General features: G+C 42.7%; 1 protein-coding gene and 1 long non-coding RNA gene across 52 annotated transcripts in view, besides 1 other annotated feature; one reads left to right on the top strand and one right to left on the bottom strand.

Moving 5' to 3' along the window:
* Positions 1-21,633, top strand: part of RGS6 (regulator of G protein signaling 6) — a 762,695-nt gene that overhangs the window by 276,541 nt on the left and 464,521 nt on the right. The gene's annotated exons all lie outside the window — the stretch shown is intronic.
* On the bottom strand, positions 999-20,532 carry LOC124903343 (uncharacterized). The gene is made up of 2 exons (XR_007064260.1): positions 20,466-20,532; positions 999-1,266 (listed from the first exon to the last, which is right to left on the bottom strand). It is a non-coding gene; the product is annotated as an uncharacterized LOC124903343 (long non-coding RNA).
* Positions 11,043-12,242: an enhancer, noted in NCBI's record as "CDK7 strongly-dependent group 2 enhancer chr14:72621633-72622832 (GRCh37/hg19 assembly coordinates)". NCBI's record gives its function as "activates an origin of replication core promoter dependent on BRD2, BRD4, P300/CBP, MED14 and CDK7 cofactors, with strong dependence on CDK7, by STARR-seq in HCT116 cells {active_cell/tissue: HCT116}" and the evidence as "EXISTENCE:reporter gene assay evidence [ECO:0000049][PMID:35650434]".

Genomic DNA, 21,633 nt, shown 5'->3' on the forward strand with positions numbered 1-21,633 from the left:
TGTTAATAATATTTATTACCATCAGATTAGAATCAAGTTAACATCAAATTAGTAAGAGATATGTCAGTCACAGGACTTGTAGGGATGCGAGAAAAAGACCACCAGAGAAACTGAAGAAACAACTGGAATCATCTTTGAAGAATTTCAAACTCATCATTGAGACATTGGCGAGACTGGGAAAATTATTTCTGAATCTTGAAAGAATGATGCCCCAAGACCAGATCATTTAACCATTATGTGTCTGGAGAGCCATCATGCTTCCTGGTATATTTACTGTGGAAAACCCTGACTCTCAAAAATTAAAGGAAAATTACAACTGTAATAAATTGGCCTGAATTGCATGGATTCATAAGACCACTCTCTTTCCATTTCTTCCTACTTAATGTTGTTTTCACATAGTGATCACTTAGCAGAGTTTGGGAATAATAACTGGCAAAAAAGCTAAAATTCTTAGTCCCTAAAGGAAAAGTTTGCAAACTTATTATTTAATGTTTTAAAACCCCTTTCCCCCGATGAATGTTACCCTGTCCCTAGGAGAAGCTTCTCTTTCATGAGTTCATAGATCAACAGTGGAAAGATGATTGTATTTTTGAGCCTTGAGGTTCAACTTTTTCTCTTCTAAGTCTTTTATTCTGCAAGAGCCCTTTTGAATGATTTAAAATGGCATTCTCCATTTATTCGTATTTATCGAAAATCTATTTGGAGCAAGGTATTACATTTAAAGACAGAGAAGAAATGGTTCATCCACTCAGCTAATATTTATTGTGTGTACACTATGTAGCTACAAGCTGGGAACAGAGTGGAGAGCAAAAGAAGACACCATTCCTGCTCTTCTACAGTTGAGTCTGGTAGAGGAGACATTCATGATTCATTTTTTTTTTTTTTTTGAAGCGGTATAACCACCCAGTGGGTTCACATTGCCTGCTGCCTTCACAGAGCCAATGTATCGAGACAGGGGAATTGCAGTGAAGAAAGAGTAATTCACACAGAGCCAGCTGTGCAGGAATGAGAGTTTTATTATTACTGAAATCAGTCTCCTGAAGCATTCAGGGATCAGAGTTTTTAAAGATAATTTGGCAGGTAGGGGCTCAGGAAGCGAGGAGTGATGATTGGTCAGGTTGGAGATGGAATCATAGAGGGGTCGAAGTGAGTTTTTCTTGCTGTCTATGTTCCTGGGTGGAATGGCAGAATTGGTTGAGCCACATTACTGGTCTGGGTGGTGTCAGCTGATCCATGGAGTGCAGAGTCTGCAAAATATCTCAAGAACTGATGTTAGGTTTTACAATAGTGATGTTATCCCCAGGAGCAATTTGGGGAGGTTCAGACTCTTGGAGCCAGAGGCTGCATGACCCCTAAACTGTAATTTCTAATCTTGTAGCTAATTTGTTAGTACTGCAAAGGCAGACTGGTCCCTAGGCAAGAAGGGGGTCTACGTGGGAAAGGGCTGCTAGCAATTTTGCTTCAGAGTCAAACCATGGACAGAATTCCTTCCCAAAGTTAGTTCAGCCTACGCCCAAGAATGAACAAGGACAGCTTAAAGGATAGAAACAAGATGGAGTAGGTTAGGTCTGATTTCTTTCACCATCATAATTTCCTCAGTTAAAATTTTGTAAAGGTGGTTTCAATGGAGCCTCACTCTGTTGCCCAGGTTGGAGCGTACTGGTTCCATCTCAGCTTACTGCAACCTCTACCTCCTGGGTTCAAGCGATTCTTGTGTCTCAGCCTCCCAAGTAGGTAGGATTACAGGCATCTGCCACCACACTGGGCTAATTTTTTTGTGGATTTTTAGTAGAGATGGGGTTTCACCATGTTGGCCAGGCTGATCTCAAACTTCTGACCTCAAGTGATCCACCTGCCTTGGCCTCCCAAAATGCTGGGATTACAGGTGTGAACCACCACGCCCAGCCATGAATCTTTAGATTACTCAAGTAAATGTAAAATTATAAGTGTGGTAAATGACAGGAGATGTATAGTAGAGGAATCTCATCTGTCTAGGGATAAAGGGCTCCCCTGTGGAAGTGATATTTAAGGGAAGATTAAAGGATTAAGAACAATTAATTTGGGAAGGGATGGTGTCTTAGTCTGTTCTCTGTTACCTGAGACTGAGTAATTTATTTTAAAAACTCAGAAATTTATTTTTTACGGTTCCAGAGGCTAAGAAGTCCAAAGTTAATGGGCTGTCATTTGGCAAGAACCTTCTTGCTCTATCATCTCATGGTGGAGGGCAGGAAAGCAAGAGAGCACACATGCCACAGAGAGCAACAGAGGGCCAAACTCACTTTTATAACAAGCCCAGTCTTATGATACAAACCTACTCTCACAATAATGACATCAATCCATTCATGAGGGCTCTGCCCTCATGACCTAACCACCTCTAAGTTCTACCTCTCAACACTCTTGCATTGGGGGTTAAGTTTCCAACTCATGAACTTCAGAGGACACATTCAAATCATAGCATTCTGCCTCTGGTATTCAAAATTCACATTCTTCTCACATGTAAAATATATTTATTTCATACCAATTGCTCTAAAAATCTTAACTCATTCCAACATCAGCTTAAAAGTCCAAAGTCCATAGTCTCATCTAAATCAGATATGTGTGAGACTCAAGGCATGATTCACCCTGAGGCAAATTCCCCTCCAGCTGTGAGCCTGTGAAATTAAACAATTTATCTATTTTTGATACAATGGTGAGACAGGCATAGGATAGCCATTCTTATTCCAAAATGGAGAAATAGGCAAGAAAAAAAGAGTAACTAGTCCCAAGTGAGTTCAAAACCCAACAGGAAAAACAACATAAAGTCGTAAATCTGGAGAATAATCTCCACACCCTTAATATTGTCTCCCAAACATGCTTTTTTCATTCTTTACATGGCCAGGCTGAAAATTTTCAAAACTTTTACTTTCTTCTTCCCTTTTAGTTACAAATTTGTCTTTAAATCATTTCCTTCTTATTTTACTGTAAGTGGCTGAAAGAAGCCATGCAGCACCTTCAACTTTGCTACTTAGGCATTTGCTACTTAGCCTAGTTCATCACTCTTAAGTTCTGCCTTCCATAAAGTCCTAGGACATAGACACAATTCCACCAAGTTTGTAACTGTATCACAAGGATGGCCTTTACTCCAGTTTCCAATACACTGTTCCTCAGATCCATCTGAGACTTCATCAGGATGGCCATTACTGTCCATGTTTCTACCAACATACTGATCATGACGTCTTAAGTAACCTCTAGGAAATCCCAGTTTCTCTGCAGTTCTTTTCTTCCTCTGAGTTCTCACCAGAATCACCCTTAATGCCCCATTCATGACAATCTATGCTTCTTAAAATCTTGCTCCTCCAAATTCTTCCAGCCTCTACCTATTACTAAATTCCAAAGCTTCTTCCGTGTTTTCAGGTATTTGTTACTGTAATAAACCCTCTTCTCGATACCAATTTTTTGTCTTAGTTTATTTTGTGCTGTTTATAACAGAATACCAGAGACTGGGTAATTTATAAAGAAAAGAAAGCCAGCGTCTGGCAAGAACCTTCTTGCTGCATGATCCTGTGGCAGAAGGCAGAAGGGCAAGAGAACATGTGCACAAGAGAGAACAAAAGAGGGCCGAACTCACTTTTATAACAAACCACTCTTGCAATAATGACATTAATCTATTCATGAGCCCTCATGACCTAATTGCCTGTTAAAGGTCCCACTTCCCAACACTGTTGCATGGGGATTAGGTTTCCAGCACATAAACTTTGGAGAACACATTCAAATCGTAGCACATGGGGTACAGAATTATATTGCAGATACAGACAGCAGCTCATGCCAATGCTGTGTGGTAAGAGAAAGCACAGGGCTATTGAAAGAATGAACAAGGGTAAGGGCACTGGCACCCAGAGGGCAAGGAAGAGTACAGGTGGGATGAATCCAGAGTGGGAGGTGGAGACTACCACCAGGCTATGCAGGACCTTATAACCACTTTAAAAATTTGAGAAGTCTGGGTGCAGTGGCTCATGCCTGTAATCCCAGCACTTTGGGAGGCCAAGGCGGGCAGATCACGAAGTCAGGAGATTGAGACCATCCTGGCTAACATGGTGAAACCCCATCTCTACTAAAAATACAAAAAATTAGCTGGGCATGGTGGCAGGCGTCTGTAGTCCCAGCTATTCAGGAGACTAAGGCAGGAGAATGGCATGAACCTGGGAGGCAGAGCTTGCAGTGAGCCGAGATTGCACCACTGCACTCCAGCCTGGGTGACAGAGCAAGACTCCATCTAAAAAAAAAAAAAAAAAAAAAAAAAATTGAGAGATAGGAGGGTCACTTGAGGCCAGGAGTTCAAGACCAGCCTGGGCAACATAGCAAGAACCCATCTCTACAAAAAAATAGAAAAAAATTATTTGGGTATGGTGATGCAAACCTGTAGTCTCAGCTACTCAGGAGGCTGAGGGTGGGAAGATCACTTGTGTCCATGAGTTCGAGGCTGCAGTAAGCTGGTATTGTGCCACTGCACTCCAGCCTGGGCAACAGAGTGAGACCCTGTCTTTTAAAAAAATGAGGGTTTTATTCAAAGAACAATGGAAAATCATTGATGGGTTTTAAGCAGTAAACATGAAGGGAACACATTTGTGGTTTGCAAAGATTGCTTTAGTGCCTTTGGAGAGGAGTGGTAGTAAGATCATCCAGGGTGCTATTGTTCCCAGGTGAAAGATGCAATAATTCAGGTGGACCCCTTAAAGAAAGAGATATGGATGAGTTCTAGAGATGTGGAAGAGGCAGAATCAATAGAACTTGGTATTGATTGAATATGGTGTGGGGGCAGGGTTATTAGCATGGCCCCTAGATTTCTAGCCTGCTGAGTAGGATGAATGGTCACACCATTCACTGAGATAGAAAGCTGAGATAAAACAAGATTTAGGAGGAAAGTTGACTTTTACTTTGGACAGGTTGAATTCAAAGTATAGTATGGTGTCATAAAGTAAGCTGTTGTTACATAGCCTAAAAATGAGTGGATTTTTAAAAGGTCAAGATGGGCAGAAGTAGAGCATTCCAGTTATCTAACATTGCATGATAAAGTCCCAACAGTTATGGCTTAAAACAACATTTACTGTGCTCATTAATCTGAATTTTGGCAAGGCTTGGTGGATAGCTTATCTCCGCACCACTTGGTGTCAGCTGGGGGAGCCTGAGGCTGGGGTTGGAATCATAAGACAGCTTGCTCACTCAAATGTATGGCAGTTGATGCTGGCTGTTGGCCGAACTTGAGCAGGGGTTGTGGCTGGAGCACCTACTCGTGTCCTTTACATGTGGCTGCTTAGCTTCTTCAGAGCTTGGTCTGCTGGGTTTCAAGGTGAGTGTCACAAGAATAAAGTGAGAGCCAGACAGAGACTATCACCTTTCATGACCTCGCCTCAGAAGTCATCTAGCATCACTTCCATGGCATTCTGTTCATTAGACATGGCCCAGCCATATTCAGGGTAAGGGGAATTAGAGTTCACTCTTCAATGGGGGGAGTGTTGAAGAATTTGACAACATGTTTTAAAACCACCACATGGCGGGGCAGAGAAGAAATCAGTTATCATTCCAGCTGGAAGGAACAGGTTGAAACGGGAAGGTAGAAATTATATTCAATAGAAGTGGAGTGGTTGCTGTTGGCTGGCCTGGAGCATGTATGAAGGGTTATGAACAGTGTGAAATATAGGTTAAAGGAACGTTTGGGACCAAATTATGGTGGAGCCCAAATTTCCTGAAACCCATTATTTTGAATCTGGAAACAAATTGTCAGAGAGGAATACAAATCAGATTTATTAAATAAAGATAAAAAGTAGAAGCAAACAGTGACTGGCATGGGATAGGAATAATTCTACTTGCTGATAAAATAATTCATGCCAATTTTGGGGTGTCTAGTCTACAGATTTGGGGTCATATATCTCCAAATTTAAATTGTAGACATATTCAAATGTCTTTAGTTGGGCTTTGTACCTTATGCCAGTCAAAAACATGAGTCAAAAAAATCATGCCTGTATGGTTCCCTTCGGAGGTATCTCTCCTTTATCCTTTAGCAGATTAAGATAAGAATCTTGGTCTTTTTGATCCTGGCTGTGGCTTCAAATTTTTCCCATCTTACTATTGGGCTACCCAAAAGGACTGCATCAGACAAGACTGGTGAGTTGAATAGTGTTCCTCCCAAATTCACGTCTACCTGGAACCTCAGAATGTTACTTTATATGGAAATAGGAACTTTGTAGATGTAATTAGTTAAGGTTCTTGAGATGAAATCATCCTGGATTTAGGGTGGGCCCTGAATCCAATTATTGTTGTCATTAAGAAATTGAGAAGGCACAGAGACAAAGCAAAGAAGCCCATGGGGAGATGCAGAAGCTGACCTTGGAGTTATGCATCTAGAACCAAGGAATGCCAGGAGCACCAGAAGCTGGAAGAGGCAAGAAAGGATTCTTCCCTAGAGCCTTCAGAGGGAGCGTGACCCTGTCAACACCTTGATTCCAGACTTCGGGCCTCTAAAACTCAGAGAGAATAAATTTCTGTTTTAAGCCACGTAGTTTGTGGCAACTTCTTATGGCAGTCCTAGGAAATTATACACGAAGTTAGAGCCAGGCATGATGTATTAGTCCATTCTCACACTGCTATAAAAAATTACCTGAGACTGGGTAATTTGTAAAGAAAAGAGGATCCCCAGGCTCTATGGAAAGCATGCCTGGGGAGACTTCAGGAAACTTACAATCATGGCAGAAGGTTAAGGGGAAGCAGGCACGTCTTACATAGCCCAAGCAGAAGGAAGAGAAATTGCTGCGAGGTGCTACATACTTCTAAACAACCAGATCTCGTAAGAACTCACTCACTGCCAAGAGAACAGCAAGGGGGAAATCCACCCCTACCACCCAGTCACCTCCCACCAGGCCCTCCTCCACATTGATCCAATCACCTCCTACCAGGCCCCTCTTTCAACCTTGGGGATTACAATTTGACATGAGATTTGGGTAGGGACGCAAATCCAATCCATGTCACGTGGAAAATATGGGTGTTGGTTTGCCAGATGCCAAACAGAAACAACATTTGATCTGTTGATAATTGTGTATCCTCTTTATCAGGTCTATCTTAAGGAAATCAGAGAGTAGAGCATATTTTCTTCATGGAATGGTGAGACACATATTAGCCTGAGACAGGAGCTAAGGAGAGTGAGTGGTGGGCTCCACCAAAGTGCCTTCATACAACTACACTGGTAGGTGATCAGAACAAAGGGACACGTAGAACGAAGACCCGGGTGTGTAACCCAAATGCCTAACAAAGTCCATTCAATGTATGAGGTGTTGCTGCTGTGTGCTGAAGGAGGAAACCTGGGTCTTAGTCTCTGTTATGGTAAATAGAGAAGAAATCAAGCCTTCCTACGACAATAGGGGATTTTTAATGAAGTAAAGGAGACAGAAGAAATGTCCCAAAGGAGAATGAAGTATGTCAAAAACAGATTGCGCATGTAATTACTTTCTCAGGCCTTCCTGACATTATCAGCAGGACTTGTGTTTTGATGAAAAAACTTAATTAAAACTTAATTTTTTTAAGTGGAAAATATTCAGCATGGTTACAGGAAGACTGAAATCAGGGCACTGTGTAATTTTAATTGCCTTCGAGAGATGCACTTCACGTGAAGACTAGCATGGGGGAAAAAAGCTAGAGGCACAAAGTCTGAGGGGAGTGGCCACGCTGAATCTCTAGCTGTGTGCTTGGGCGCCATTTTCCCCACTCTTACAGTTGACGGGATGGCATCTCAGGTTTCACGTGTAGGGGAGGAGAGTGGGTCTGTTCTGGAGTGTGCCGGTCAGGCCATACTTGGCATACACATTGTAGAAAGTGTCTTGATTTTTATTCTCCTAAAAAGGGTAAAAAGAGATTGAGGAGATTACATATCCCATGAGGCAGCAGTTTTTAAATGCCACTCTCTGGATCAGTTCTATCAGAACCATCTGGTTCTGATTCATTTAATCTGTTTTAGGACCTGTGCACAGTGTTTCTATTTTAAAAATAAACCTGTCCTACTCATTCTTGGAGTCAGGTGTGGGAACTACAGGTTTTTAATGGAAGAAACATGAACTTGAAAATGAGTAAATATGGGCTACGTCCTTTACTTCCCAAGGAGATTTGGGTTGACTGCTTAGTTTCCTCCATCAAATGGGGATAATATGCTTATTTGATGGGGTTTTGTGAAAATAAAAGATAACACAGGTAAAGTGACTGACACATACAGTTAAGTGGTCTAAAAATGATAAAACTGTAGAAGAAGAGTTGGATCAGGCTGCTTGCTAAATTGGGAAGGGATAAGGTAGTGTTCTTCAGATATTTCAAGGGCAGCTGCATGAGAGAGAGAGAGAGAGAGAGAGAGTGTGTGTGTGTGTGTGTGTGTGTGTGTGCGCATGCAGCCTTTAGAGGTCAGACTCAAGTCCAGCAGGTAGAAGTTATAAGGAGATAAATTTCAACGCAACAGAAAGTGGAACTGTCTAGTGAATGGTCCAGGGATGTCATCAGTTTGCTCCAGAGGGTAGTACGTTCCAAATCACTGGAGCAATTAAAGCAGCTGCCATATTTTGAGGATGTACAGGGCTGTGGGGCAGCAATTGAATGAGACCACTTGGTTCAGCTCTGTAATAGGGTTTCTGGCTTCCTGTGGGGCTGTGGCTGACATACAGTTGTTTTGTAAACTAACAACACTTGAAGAAGGTTTTAGCAGAAAACGTTTACCAGTAAGATATGTCAGGTCAAGTACACTGTTTTAGGTATTCTTTACTGGGGACATTCTTGTGACCTTCATCCCAGGCCTTTCAGAAAAGGGATGGGGCATATTTAGAAGTTATTAATGACTGAGAAGCTCCTCTGGCACTTCAGGGGAGGGAACTAGAGCTATAAAATGTCCTGTGATTGTTCTAGGACTTTCTCCTTAGTTTAGCTAACATCTGGGTCCTTGTCACACGGCTATGAAATATTAGGCTTACAGACACTTTGAAGGGTGAGAAAAATGGAATTTATTGGGTAAAAAGGAAAAAAAGGGAAACAGGGATGCTCTGCAGAGCCAGATTCCTGCTAGTGTGCTTCCTGCCTCACAGACTGAATCCCAGGTACCACCCAGGAAGAGGAGGGGCCAGGCTCCTCCCCACTGCAAATGGCATGAACTTCCCAAGACCCCTCCCCCAGTGTGCAGGCCACTTGGAGGTTCTCTGGTGACCCCTTTATATTTGGCTGTCTCATTATGAATGGGACAGGAGTGGGAAATTATCCCACTTCAAATGTCACTTGCTCTCTGTTGGGAAACCCTATACCTCACTGAAGCCCAGATGATCTCCCTGAACCAGCCTTTGAGGGTCCTTTTTGGAGCCCTTTGGAAACCTGGTATTGGATGGGTTGGGTTACGGGGCTGCTCAGCCTGACAGCCTCGCATTATCTGGTGACCACAGAGTTTAAAGCAGAACATTGGGAAGAAGGTAGACTGGGCCAGTTGCACAAAGCAGAGTGTGAAGAGTGATGGGAGATGAAGGCTGTTTGCCTGCTTTTCACTGGGGACCAGATTTGGATGGATGCTGGTCCAATATGAGTGACACAGTTAACTTATCAGTGAGATCCCTCATTCTTCTCATCAGTGAGATAGCTGGGTATTGGGGGAACCTGCCCCCAGTATTTCAATGTAGGTTCTTTCTATTTTCCATAATATCAGCTGGCTGAGAAATAAAGAGAAAGAGTACAAAGAGAGGAATTTTACACCTGGGCCGCCGGGGGTGACATCACATATCGGTAGGACCTTGATGCCTGCCCAAGCCTTGAAACCAGCAAGTTTTTATTAAGGATTTCAAAAGGGGAGGGGGTGTACGACCAGGGAGTAGGTACAAAGATCACATGCTTCAAAGGGCAAAAGGTAGAACAAAGATCATATGCTTCTGGGGAAACAGAACAAAGGGCAAAAGGCAGAACTCCTGATAAGGGTCTATGTTCAGTGGTGCACGTATTATCTTGATAAACATCTTAAACAACAGAAAACAGAGTTCGAGAGCAGAGAACTGGTCTGACCAAAAATTTACCAGGGTGGAGTTTCCCAATCCTAGTAAGCCTGAAGTTACTGCAGGAGACCAGGGCGTATCTCAGTCCTTATCTCAACCGCATAGGACAGACATTCCCAGAGCGGCCGTTTATAGACCTCGCCCCAGGAATGCATTCGTTTCCTAGCGTATTAATATTAATATTCCTTGCTAGGAAAATAATTTAGTGATATCTCTCCTACTTGCACAACCGTTTATAGGCTCTCGGCAAGAAGAAAAATATGTCTCTTTTTGCCTGACCCCGCAGGCAGTCAGACCTTATGGTTGTCTTCCCTTGTTCCCTAAAAGTCGCTGTTATTCTGTTCTTTTTCAAGGTACACTGATTTCATATTGTTCAAACACACGTTTTACAATCAATTTGTGCAGTTAACACAATTATCACAGTGATCCTGAGGTGATGTACCTCCTCAGCTTATGAAGATAACGGTATTAAGAGATTAAAGTAAAGACAGGTATGAATTATAAAAGTATTAATTTGGGAACTGATACATGTCCATATTAAAATGAAATCTTCACAATTTATGTTCCTCTGCTGTGGCTCCAGCCAGTCCCTCTGTTTGGGGGGGGTCCCTGACTTCCAACAGCTGGGGACCACTTAATCAGGGTAAGGGCAGTAGTTTGTGTTCACAGTTTGATCTCCCTGCATGGTGCTAACCAGGCTGCATGGGGATCTAATGTCTGACTTTGGCCACGGCATCAGGCTCCAGCCAACTGACGTGAAAGCAAGTTTCCAAATCGTCTCTTTCTAAATAGATAAATGATACTCAGTGTTCCTTTAGCCTTCCTTATTTTTTGCAAATGCCTGTCCCCAGTGGTTCTGTTGTTTGCTCTGATTGCCGTTTTCCCCAGTAAGTGGGAAAACCCCACATCTTTTCCCCATCAGTATTCCCTAATGAGGCTTGTTCCCTCAAGGGGACCTTGATGAGTTACAACAGCATGACCATGTTCCCAAGCAGCATGCTAAGAAAAACAAACCCCAGTGATGCCCTGCAGGCACCATTTAGGAGCGGGCGGTAATGAATCCCTGAGAGAATTCAGTCCTCCGTATGAAGGTGATCCAGAGTGAAGTAAACAATTTCACCGTTAGGTGGTTCACCCTGCATGCCTCATTGCTGGCTTTCTGGAAAGCCAGTAAATAAGGCAGAAAAAATGTATCATTCCCTCCAGAGTGCAGGGTCCCCTGTCACCCACACAGGACTCCTGCCTGTCACTTTGAGTCACAGCTGGGCTTTCTGGAACCCGGATTCTTGTCTCTGGTTAGCTCAGGTCTTGCAGCCATGCCAAATCCAAACTGTGACATTGTCTGAACAGTAGGGCATCCTGTTCCCTGGTTTGGCTGAGCTCTGCGGAGCAGAACAGTGGCCGAGGTTAACATCAGATAATTTCCTCCACCATTCCTGAGTACCCTGAGGGCTTGTTACCTGGAATCAAAGACTTGTCAGAACTCAAGATGACCTTAAAGGCCAGCTTATTCAACCTCCCACCCAGGATATGACTTCCAGAACTAACCACCCACAATGCAGATTAGTAATATCATACGTGGTTACTCAATGCAATTGTGTCATTTCAGGAGAAATGACCTGTTACCAAAGTGTCATGAAACCCACATTAATGAGCTGGGCTGTAGTGGAGGTTTACTTTGATTTCTGACCTTAATTATTAGTGGTTTGGATTCTTTACGTTTATGATGGATTTTCTGATTACCAATTATGATTCACTGTAAGCCATTTTTAAAAATATGACATGAAGCTCTGACCCACTTTTAACAACACAGTGGCAAATGCCAAACAATTGGCAATTTCCCCTTCTAATATCAGCTGTTTGAATCATCACATCTACTGTGGTGGCTGGGGACCACTTTATCTTCATTCTCTGGCTTCAGTATTCTTTTCTGGTATTGTCATTACTGACCTAGGTGCATATCTGTACTAGGCTGGGACCTCAGCTCTATGCCAGTGAGAAAATGAGGTTCAACTGGGAAAACGGCCTGGAGCAGTTGCTCTCAGGCTTGTCTGCAGATTAGAATCACCTGTAGACTTTTAAAAAATACTGACACTTGGGTTCCGCTCTTGGAAATTCTAATGGATCTGGGGTGCAGCCTGGGCATCTGGAATTTTACAGTCTACCTGAGTAATTCCAATGAGCAGGTGGGTGGCCTTGCAAACCGGGGTCTGAAGGGGCTGGTCAGCAAGGAGTATGGGCAAAATAGTGCTGGCTGGCTGGGCGCAGTGGCTTACGCCTGTGATCCCAGCATTTGGGAGGCTGAGGCAGGAGGATCATGAGGTCAAGAGTTCGAGAACAGCCTGGCCAACATGGTGAAACCTTGTCTCTACTAAAGATACAAAAAATTAGCTGGGCGTGGTGGCACGGGCCTGTAATCCCAGCTACTTGGGAAGCTGAGGCAGGAGAATCACTTGAACCCAGGAGGCAGAGGTTGCAGTGAGCCAAGATCCCACTTGGCTGCCACTGCACTCCAGCCTGGGTGACAGGGTGAGACTCCATCTCAAAAAAAAAAAAAAAAAAAAAAAAATAGTGGTGGCCAAGGGGTGTTTATAAAACAGAGTTGTGATACATGTTCATACGTTCACCTTTGAGGTCTGATTTGGTGGTAGCAGGAGTTTCAGGGGAAATGTTTACTGATCAGGTTGATGAGTGTCCAGGGACAAGATGTGTCTGCTAAGAGTTAGATTGATGGCAAAGATTGGGCAGATTGATAGTTCTCTAGCAAATAAGATGAGATCTGCTATTTCAGCAGGAAACAATCAAGTAAGGAAGTTGAACAAAAAGCTAGTGGTATGGGCCATGTCCACAAGCTGTGGTTAAAGGCAAAGGCTGCAGCCTGATTGGCGTGCCCACACTGGGCTGGGCACTGTCAGGGACAGCCAGGCTGACTCCAGAGCCTGCCTTCTGGTTGGCTTCTCCCGGCTTAAGTCTGGCCCTGCAGGAAAACCGACAGGAGTTTTCATGCCAACCAAGACTGAGACAATCAGAGACTGGCAGGTTTGGAACCAGGAGGTCTGGATGGGGAGGCTGGCTCTGAATCTGTTGTCATTATCAGGTGAGTCATTAGGACCACCTGGAAAAGTGAAGCTGTTCTTCACCTTCTCTTCTTGTGAAAGTGATTCAATCTCCCAAACCCAGGTTGATCATACCCTTTAGGTCTAATATAGGAAGTGTTGAATTAGGTGATGTCTCTAAAGAACTCTCTCTGGGTTCCTTAGAGAAAAATAACATTTGAACATTGTGCCTCAGCAGGAAAGAAGATGCAATTTAAGTCCTGCACCAAGGCATTCAGGGCTCACCTCAAAGTGGACTCCTAGGAACAAGAAGCAAATGATTCCGTGGAGAGTGTTAGATGTCTGGCCAATGGAAACGGGGATGTAGTTCAGGTTTTCTAGCCCCAGAAGTTCAGAACATTTGGGTTCCTCGGTGGACATGTCTGTTACTCGCTTGAAACTAGGGAAAGTCTCTTGTGTAGAAAACCTGTTGCATGTCCCTTGACTACCAGTAGCAGCAGAGGTGCTATGTGTGGCTGAAGAATTTTCCTCCTTTTTCTGAGAGATGATTTCCCAGGTTTCCTTCTCCACAATTCTGTGGGCGTGTACTGCTGTGATAAGATGTTTGTTCTCTGGCTTATAAATTACAAGATATTTTCAGGACCACTTGGAAGAAATTCGAACATTTTCCTGGAGGCAGTGGGGGAGCTGCTGGAGGTTTTCGGACAGGCGGGCCACATGCTGAGAGAGGTATTTTGGGAAAATGCACTTGGCAGTCATGTGTGGGTGAGGATAATAATATTAATACTTAACCACTGGCTTGTTGGGAAGAGTAAGGGGAACAATGTAAGTGAGTGTAAAGATGCAGGACCACCATTCCTTTGTTCATTCTTTTTTTTTCTTTTTCTTTTTTTATACTTTACATTCTGGGATACATGTGCAGAACGTGCAGGTTTGTTACATAGGTATACATGTGCCATGGTGGTTTGCTGCACCCATCAACCTGCCATCTACATTAGGTATTTCTCCTAATGCTATCCCTCCCTTAGCCCCGCACTTTGTCCATTCTTTTAGTTTCTCTGAGACCTGGTGCCCCAAGGATACCATCTTCTCCTGACCAGTGTATCAGTTTGCGAGAGTTGCCATAAAAAAATAGCACAGACTGGGTGGCTTCAACAACAGAAATATATTTTCTCATAGTTCTGTAGGTGGGAAGCCTGAGAATGAAAGGCATCGGTAGGGCTGGTCCCTCCTCAGGGCCGCGAGGGCAGGGTCTATTCCAGGCCTTCCTCCTTGGCTTGTAGATGGTCACCCTCTTCCCTGTCTCTTCATGTCATCATCTCTCTTTGTGTCCGAATTTCTTCTTCTCGTGAGGACACCAGTCATATTGGATTAGGGCCCACCCTAATGACTGCATTTTAACTTAATTACCTCTGAAAAGATCCTGTCTCCAAAGATGGTCATATGTGAGATACTGGGGTTAGGACTTCCACATATAATTTTTTGAGGGGATACAATTCAGTCCATAACAGCCAGTCTTTTTGAAGACTTTCTCTTTTGGGGGCTTTACACTTAGGTAATTACAGGATATTTTAAGGGGTATTTCAAGACCCAGCAACCCCCTTCTCCACCCACCATCTCCCCCAAATTATGTTCGTCACCTCCTGGTACCTGTTATATCATCACTAGAATTGCTTGGTTGAATCAAGTAATGTTTCAAGATAATTTCCGTAAACATGCACTCTTTTTATGTAAGAGGGGTAATAATAGAGCCAGTGAAATACTGGATGAATTCATTTACCAAACTACGTAAAAGTACTGATATATGACAACTACTTAGGGAACCTAAGATTTGGGACATAGAGCAGCCTATTTAGAATATCCGGTATAACATTGCAGGGAATAGCAAGGGCTCTAGAGCTTTCTGCCTGGGTTGAAATCTCAGCTCCACCCTTTTCTTTCTGTGTGGCATTCAGCAAGTTACTTAACCCACCTGTGATTCTTCCTTCATCTGAACAAGCAGCATAACAATAGCATTTACCTCATGATTCTTTAGAAGGTGAATGAGCTAATACCTAATATAGTGCTTAGAGTAGTGTCTTGTCTGTGGTTGGCTTTCAATAAATGTTAGCTGCTATTGTTGTTGTTAAACTATTTAACAAACTACGAAGCACATTCCTATCTGCTTTCTTCTTTGCCCTTGTAGCAGCCCTGTGGAGTAGAAGGAGTTAGTTACATTTTACAGATGAAGAGACTGAGGCTCTAAGACATTATGCGAACCATCTCAGGGCATATGGCAGTGTTATTCAGAACATCTATCGGTAAAGAACAAGAATTCCAAAAATATAGGATTTTCCCCAGGAAGGAGGGCCAGAGTGTGGGCTACTGTGGGATGGCCTCCGGGCAGAGTGTGAGGGTAGGCGCTCCAAAGAGTAAGGCATCTGGAGAAGAGAAACAATGAAAGAGGCAAACGCTGGATGAGAAGGACCTCAAAGCAGAACTTTGCCTCTTGGCCTCTCAGTCAATTGTGATCTGACTGACATCCAGATTGTGATCTTGTTCAGGTGGCTGAACTTTGAACCCTTCTTGGCCATTTGATGCTAAAGGCAGTCTTTGAATGTGATGTTTTCCTAGATCGTACTGGTGGAATTTAGTTGCCTCAGATTTCCCAGTCATGTGCCAGCACTGCCAAGTGATCTCCATGTGTGGGTTTTATGATGTGTTTCCAGTGCTCCACATATGGCCTGTGATTTTTTTTTCCTATGGCTCCTAATGAAACACTCAGAACACTGCACTGAATAGAAGTTTCTCCCTATTCTCCAGAGTGGGGATCCTTATTGCATCGTCAAGCATGGACACCAAAAATAAATGGGGAGAAATCTCTATTCTCTTAGTGATGAGGCACTCTTGGAGGAAGATATTATTAACATGACTACGTCTTGCCAATTTGAAACTTTGCAAATATCTGTAAGGTTGACCAGTTTTTATAATTTCAAGATTTTAAGTTCAACTTAAGGTACTTTACAAAATTATTTTTATCATAATAAATTACAGTTCTTTACACCTGTGTCTTTTACCGATTAGATTGTGAGCTACTTTATGGGTGAGCACCAGTATCTACTTAACTTTGTACTAAATGGCTCAATATTGCCTGGAAAATAGTAGGTGCCCAATAAATAGTAAATGTTGTTCGATCAAATCATAAATGTAGATATAAGCTAAACCTCTTCCCTGGGCAACTGGAAATGCCCATGTTATGTCTTAAAACACATTGAATTCAGGTGGGAGAATAAAAATGATTTTAACAAATCCAGTGTGCTTTTTGAAGGCAGAACTACAATTACTTCTTTTTTCCCTCATAATCAAATCAACCTGTGAAATTGGAAGCCAATAAATATGTAAAAAAGTCATCAAATGTCATAGGAGAGGACTACTATTTGATTCACACGTGATCTTTGTCGTTTAATTGCGTGTGGCAAGAATGAATGGAAGTGATATTAAGTGGAGAAAAACTCAGTCCCATTGGTGAGTTATTTACCTTGACCACTGTGATGGGCTGAATTGTGTTCCCCTAAAATTCCTATGTTGAAGTCCTAACCCCCAGTATCTCAGAATGTGACTGTATTTGGAGATACAGTCTTTCAAAAGGTGATTAAGTTAAAGTGAAAATGAGGCCTTTGGGATGGGTCCTAATCCAATATGGTTGTTGTCTTTACAAGAAGAAAACATTTGGCCACATGGAGAGATACAAGGGATGCACATGCATGGAGGAAAGAACATGTGAAGACATTTACAAGCCATAAAAAGAGCCCTTTCAGAGACTAACCGTGCTGACACCTTGACTTTGAACTTCCAGCCCTCCAGGACTGTGAGAAAATAAATTTCTGTTGCTTAAGTCACACAGTCTGTGGTATTTTATTATGATAGCCCTACCAAACTAATACAACCACCTACTTTTTAGAATTTATAGAATCCAAGCACTTAAGATTACAAAAATGCATGTTTATTGTGGCACTATTCACAATAGTGAAGACTTGGAACCAATCCAAATGCACATCAATGATAGACTGGATAAAGAAAATGTGGCACATATACACCATGGAATGCTATGCAGCCATAAAAGAGGATGAGTTCGTGTCCTTTGCAGAGACTTGGATGAAGCTGGAAACCATCATTCTCAGCAAACTAACGCGAGAACAGAAAACCAAACACCGCATGTTCTCACTCATAAGTTGAACAATGAGAACACATGAGCACAAGGAGGGGAACATCACATACCAGGGCCTGTTGGGGGCTGGGGAGCTACAGGAGGGATAGCATTAGAAGAAATACCTAATGTAGATGACGGGTTGATGGGTGCACCAAACCACCATGGCACGTGTATACCTATGTAAGAAACCTGCATGTTCTGCACATGTATCCCAGAACTTTAAAGTATAATAATAAAAAAAAGCAATAAAGAGGAGGTGATGGTAATAGGCACAGACTTTTGCTTGCGTTGAGGAAATATTCTAAGTTTCACAATGGGGTGTGGAAGAATCTGTGCGAATCTCCTTCTGACCTCTCGTGGTACCATTTCCTCATTACTCAGTGATGACCCCAGAGCCAGTCTTGGATGAGGCGGGGTGGAATTTTCCACACAGGTGCCATGAGCTAGGGGGCTCAAAACAGACACTGTGGTGAGGTTATTACTGAAATATTCTGTTTCTATGAAGTTTCTAACGTAATTCTGGGCCCTCTTTCTACAACCTTAGCAAGTTGCTGAACTACAGGAGTGTGGAGTAACAATGCCTTTCATGTCAATTCTGTTTACAGCCAGGCTTGCTTGCATTAAACTGGACACATCCATCAACTAGAGTGCTGGATAACAGATGAGAAAAAGCTAAGTTTGAGTTGTCTTTTATATTGTATAATGGTGCTTCTATTTTCTTTGTTTTCTTCTTGTTCTTAAGTTCTGTGGGAAACCCACGGGAAGAGGAGTCTATCCAGGGTATTTGACTTCAAATCATTTCATCTCTTCTGTTCTTCCTCTCATCTAGTCCTCTGTGTTCTTGTAATATACGCAAGGGCAAGATTAATAGTAGAACAGAATTCTGCTATGAAATTTAAGTGATGTGAATTCTTTCTCAAAATTCCAAGAATGAAAACTTTGACTATGACATAGCCAATAATTTGCACTTGTTTGCATTTGACATTGCTCATTTACATTAACTAGCGTAAAATACCTAATTAGTACAGCAGAAAAAAAAAAACTATATGAGGAAAAAAAGAAATGATTGCTCTTTTACTCACTGGAGGGAAAGGTTGGATTTATTTCAGCTCTGTGTTTAGAAAAATACCTTTGCTGGGCTTCTTGGAGTGTGAAAAGAGTGGACCCTGACCCACCTCTATTCCCTGCTGGGCCATCTGGAAGGATTTTCACAGCAAAGATAAGGCTAAACCACTCTGCAAAATGAAACCAGAGGAATTTCATGAGTTCTGGGGAGTAGAAAGAAGTAGGGTGAGCTCTGACAAGGATGATGGGGTTGGGCATGTGATGTCTGGAGTTGGGGCTAAGGAGGCCAGTCCAGGAGATGGTCCCTGAGGTAGGATGGGAGTGGGGCCAGGCAACTGTAAGACAGCGATGTCTCATGTTATTGAGCTTTGCTATTTCGTAACCTCTATCTGCCACACTTTCTAAAACCTTTGCATAACTACTGGGTATCTACCGAGAGGAAAAGAAGTCATTATACGAAAAAGATACTTGTATATGCATATTTATGGCAGCACAATTCGCAATTGCAAAAATATGTAACCAGTCCAAATGCCCATCAATCAATGAGTGGATAAAGACACTGTGAGATACACATATATATATACACACACACACATATATATACATATACATATGTGTGTATATATATATGATGGAACACCACACAGCCATAAAAAGGAATGAATAATGGCATTTGCAGCAACCTGGATGGAACTGGAGACCATTATTCTAAGTGAAGTAACTCAGGAATGGAAACCCAAACATCATATGTTCTCACTCATAAGTGGGAGCTAAGCTATGAGGATGCAAAGGCATAAGAATAATACAATGAACTTCGGGGACTTGGGAGAAAGAATGGGAGGTGGGTGAGGAATAAAAGACTACAAATTGGGTTCAGTGTATACTGCTCAGGTGATGGATGCACCACGGTCTCACAAATCACCACTAAAATACTTACTCATGTAACCAAATACCACCTGTTTCCCAAAAACCAATGGAAATAAAAAATTAAAAAATAATAAAAATAAAATAAAATCTTTATAAGACTACTGTACCTGTTAGAGCCTCCTTTCTGGGAAATTAAAACTCTAATTGTTTCCACATTAGCTTATGAGGTGGTTGGTAAAAGAGAATGACTACAGGAAATGAAATGCCAATGAGGTTGATAATTCAGTGGGACCAACAAGTCACAGTCAACCAGTGATGGAGATGGTAAACCTACTAGGAATCCACAGAAATTTTGAGGCAGGTACCGGACTCTCAAGAGTGTGTGAGATTGGTGAGGCTTTGGCCTGAGCCATTGAAAATAAATGCATAAATAGCAACACTTAGCAGACCGGAAAACATGGGGGAAAACCCAGACAAGAGACACTTGGGATTTGTCAGTAAAAAATGGAGTTGTGAGGCTGGGTGCAGTGGCTCACGCCTGTAATCCCAGTACTTTGGGAGGCTGAGGTGGGCGGATCACGAGGTCAGGCGTTCGAGACCAGCCTGGCCAACGTGGTGAAACCCCATCTCCACTAAAAATACAAAAATTAGCCAGGTGTGGTGGCACTCACCTGTAATCGCAACTACTCAGGAGGCTGAGGTAGGAGAATCACTTGAATCTGGGAGGCAATGGTTGCAGTGAGCCAAGATTGCACCACTGCACTCCAGCCTGGGCAACAGAGTGAGACTCCATCTCAAAAAAAAAAAAAAAAATGCAGTTGTGGAAGCTTTGAAATCCCTGCTGTGAGGTTATGGAAGGAGAATGTTTCTGTTCAAGTATGAATCTTTTTTGGGAGGGGTGGCAAGAGGAAGGTATGCAAAGGGAATGGTGAATAAAATGAAAAGGTTCGACTTTTTGGTGGTTAGTCACCTAAGAAGGTTTTGTGGGGGAAATAATGTGTTTTAGCCAGCAAGGGGATTGTTTAACCTGCCCTCTACCAGTCTGCCGTGCCTCACCCACTTGTCTACAGCTGTCCTGTTAGTTGTAGCATTTTGTTTTCTTTTATGCAAAGGGATTTTCTTATGACACTCAAGGAGAACCCAGGAGAGGGAAGGCATCTCTGCCTTCCAGGGACAAAGTTTCAGAACTGTACTGCTCTACAGTGGTAAAAAGACAACAAAGTCTTTGATTTGCAGGTTGCTTGTTTCACTTACCCTGTGAAGTGGAGCTCAGTTGGAATATTTCATCTGGCCACTCTTTAGATGTTCACGGCAGCCCTGCCTGGCCAGCCATGAGGTCGGGCGGAGAAAGGAAGCAAGGATGAGTGAGGAGGGAGAGAAATGGCCCTGGAGTTTGTTGTTGGAGATCTTCTCTGTGTCAAACATCTTAAGGGAATCACCTCATGGAATCTTCGCCACAACCCATTGATATGGGGATTATTTTCCATTTTATAATGAGGAAATGAAACCTTAGAATAACAGCAAGAAGCTCAGACAACTATGAAGTGGCAGGGTGCAGTTATGTGACTCAAAACCAGTGTTATTTTCAGAAGTGGGAAATGTCATGACTTTGCCCTCCCCTCCCCTTCTCTCTCTTCCTTCCTTTTTGTTGGCTATCTTGAGCTGAATGGTGATAACGCTTAACTAGTGGAGGTACATTTTGAATAAACAGCGACTGACTTAAATTTATAATCATAATTTTATTCTAGAGTTTTAACAAATGGTAAAACATTTAGAGTTATTTTTCCGCAGACTTGACAAAGGTGATGGCTGACTGTGCCTGCCGTCATTTTTTTCTATTTATAAAATCAGGGTAAATTTGCAAACTTCTAAAGAAGCAGACATGGCTTCAGCAACCAGTCAGGGTGGAGGTGAGACCAGGAAGGTTGGAGCTCATGAAAGGTCCTCCTCTTCTGTCTAAGGGGCACTTACTTCATTGGTAGCTCAGCTGATACTTTGGGAATTCCAAGAAAGAGCCAGGAACCCTGCTAGGAATAGAGAAGCAAAGAATCCAGGGCTCTCACTTTGAATTGCTCACCACGTCTAGAACATGAGTCAGGCACAGACACAGAAAAGTCAGCATAATGCGTATGTGCAGTGATTATGAGATGCCCATGCAGCGTCTTTACACCAGCCAGGGATGCAAGGAAGAATCTCCGGAGAACATCTACCCAACAGGTGGATTTGCTTGTGGGGAACAGAATCTGTCAAGGAGAAACAAAGCAGTGCAGTAGTTGCATCATCATGAGGAAGGATGATGTGCAGAGTTAGTTTCCTAAGTGGCATCGCCTATAATGAGCAGCGTGTTCTCCTACCACCTTAGCTGCAAGCAGTTATGCTGTATAGCCAACATCTTTCTCCTAGCTCACAATTCAAAAGCGCA

Source organism: Homo sapiens, chromosome 14 (assembly GCF_000001405.40).
Source record: "Homo sapiens chromosome 14, GRCh38.p14 Primary Assembly".
NCBI classification, from domain to species: Eukaryota; Metazoa; Chordata; class Mammalia; order Primates; family Hominidae; genus Homo; species Homo sapiens.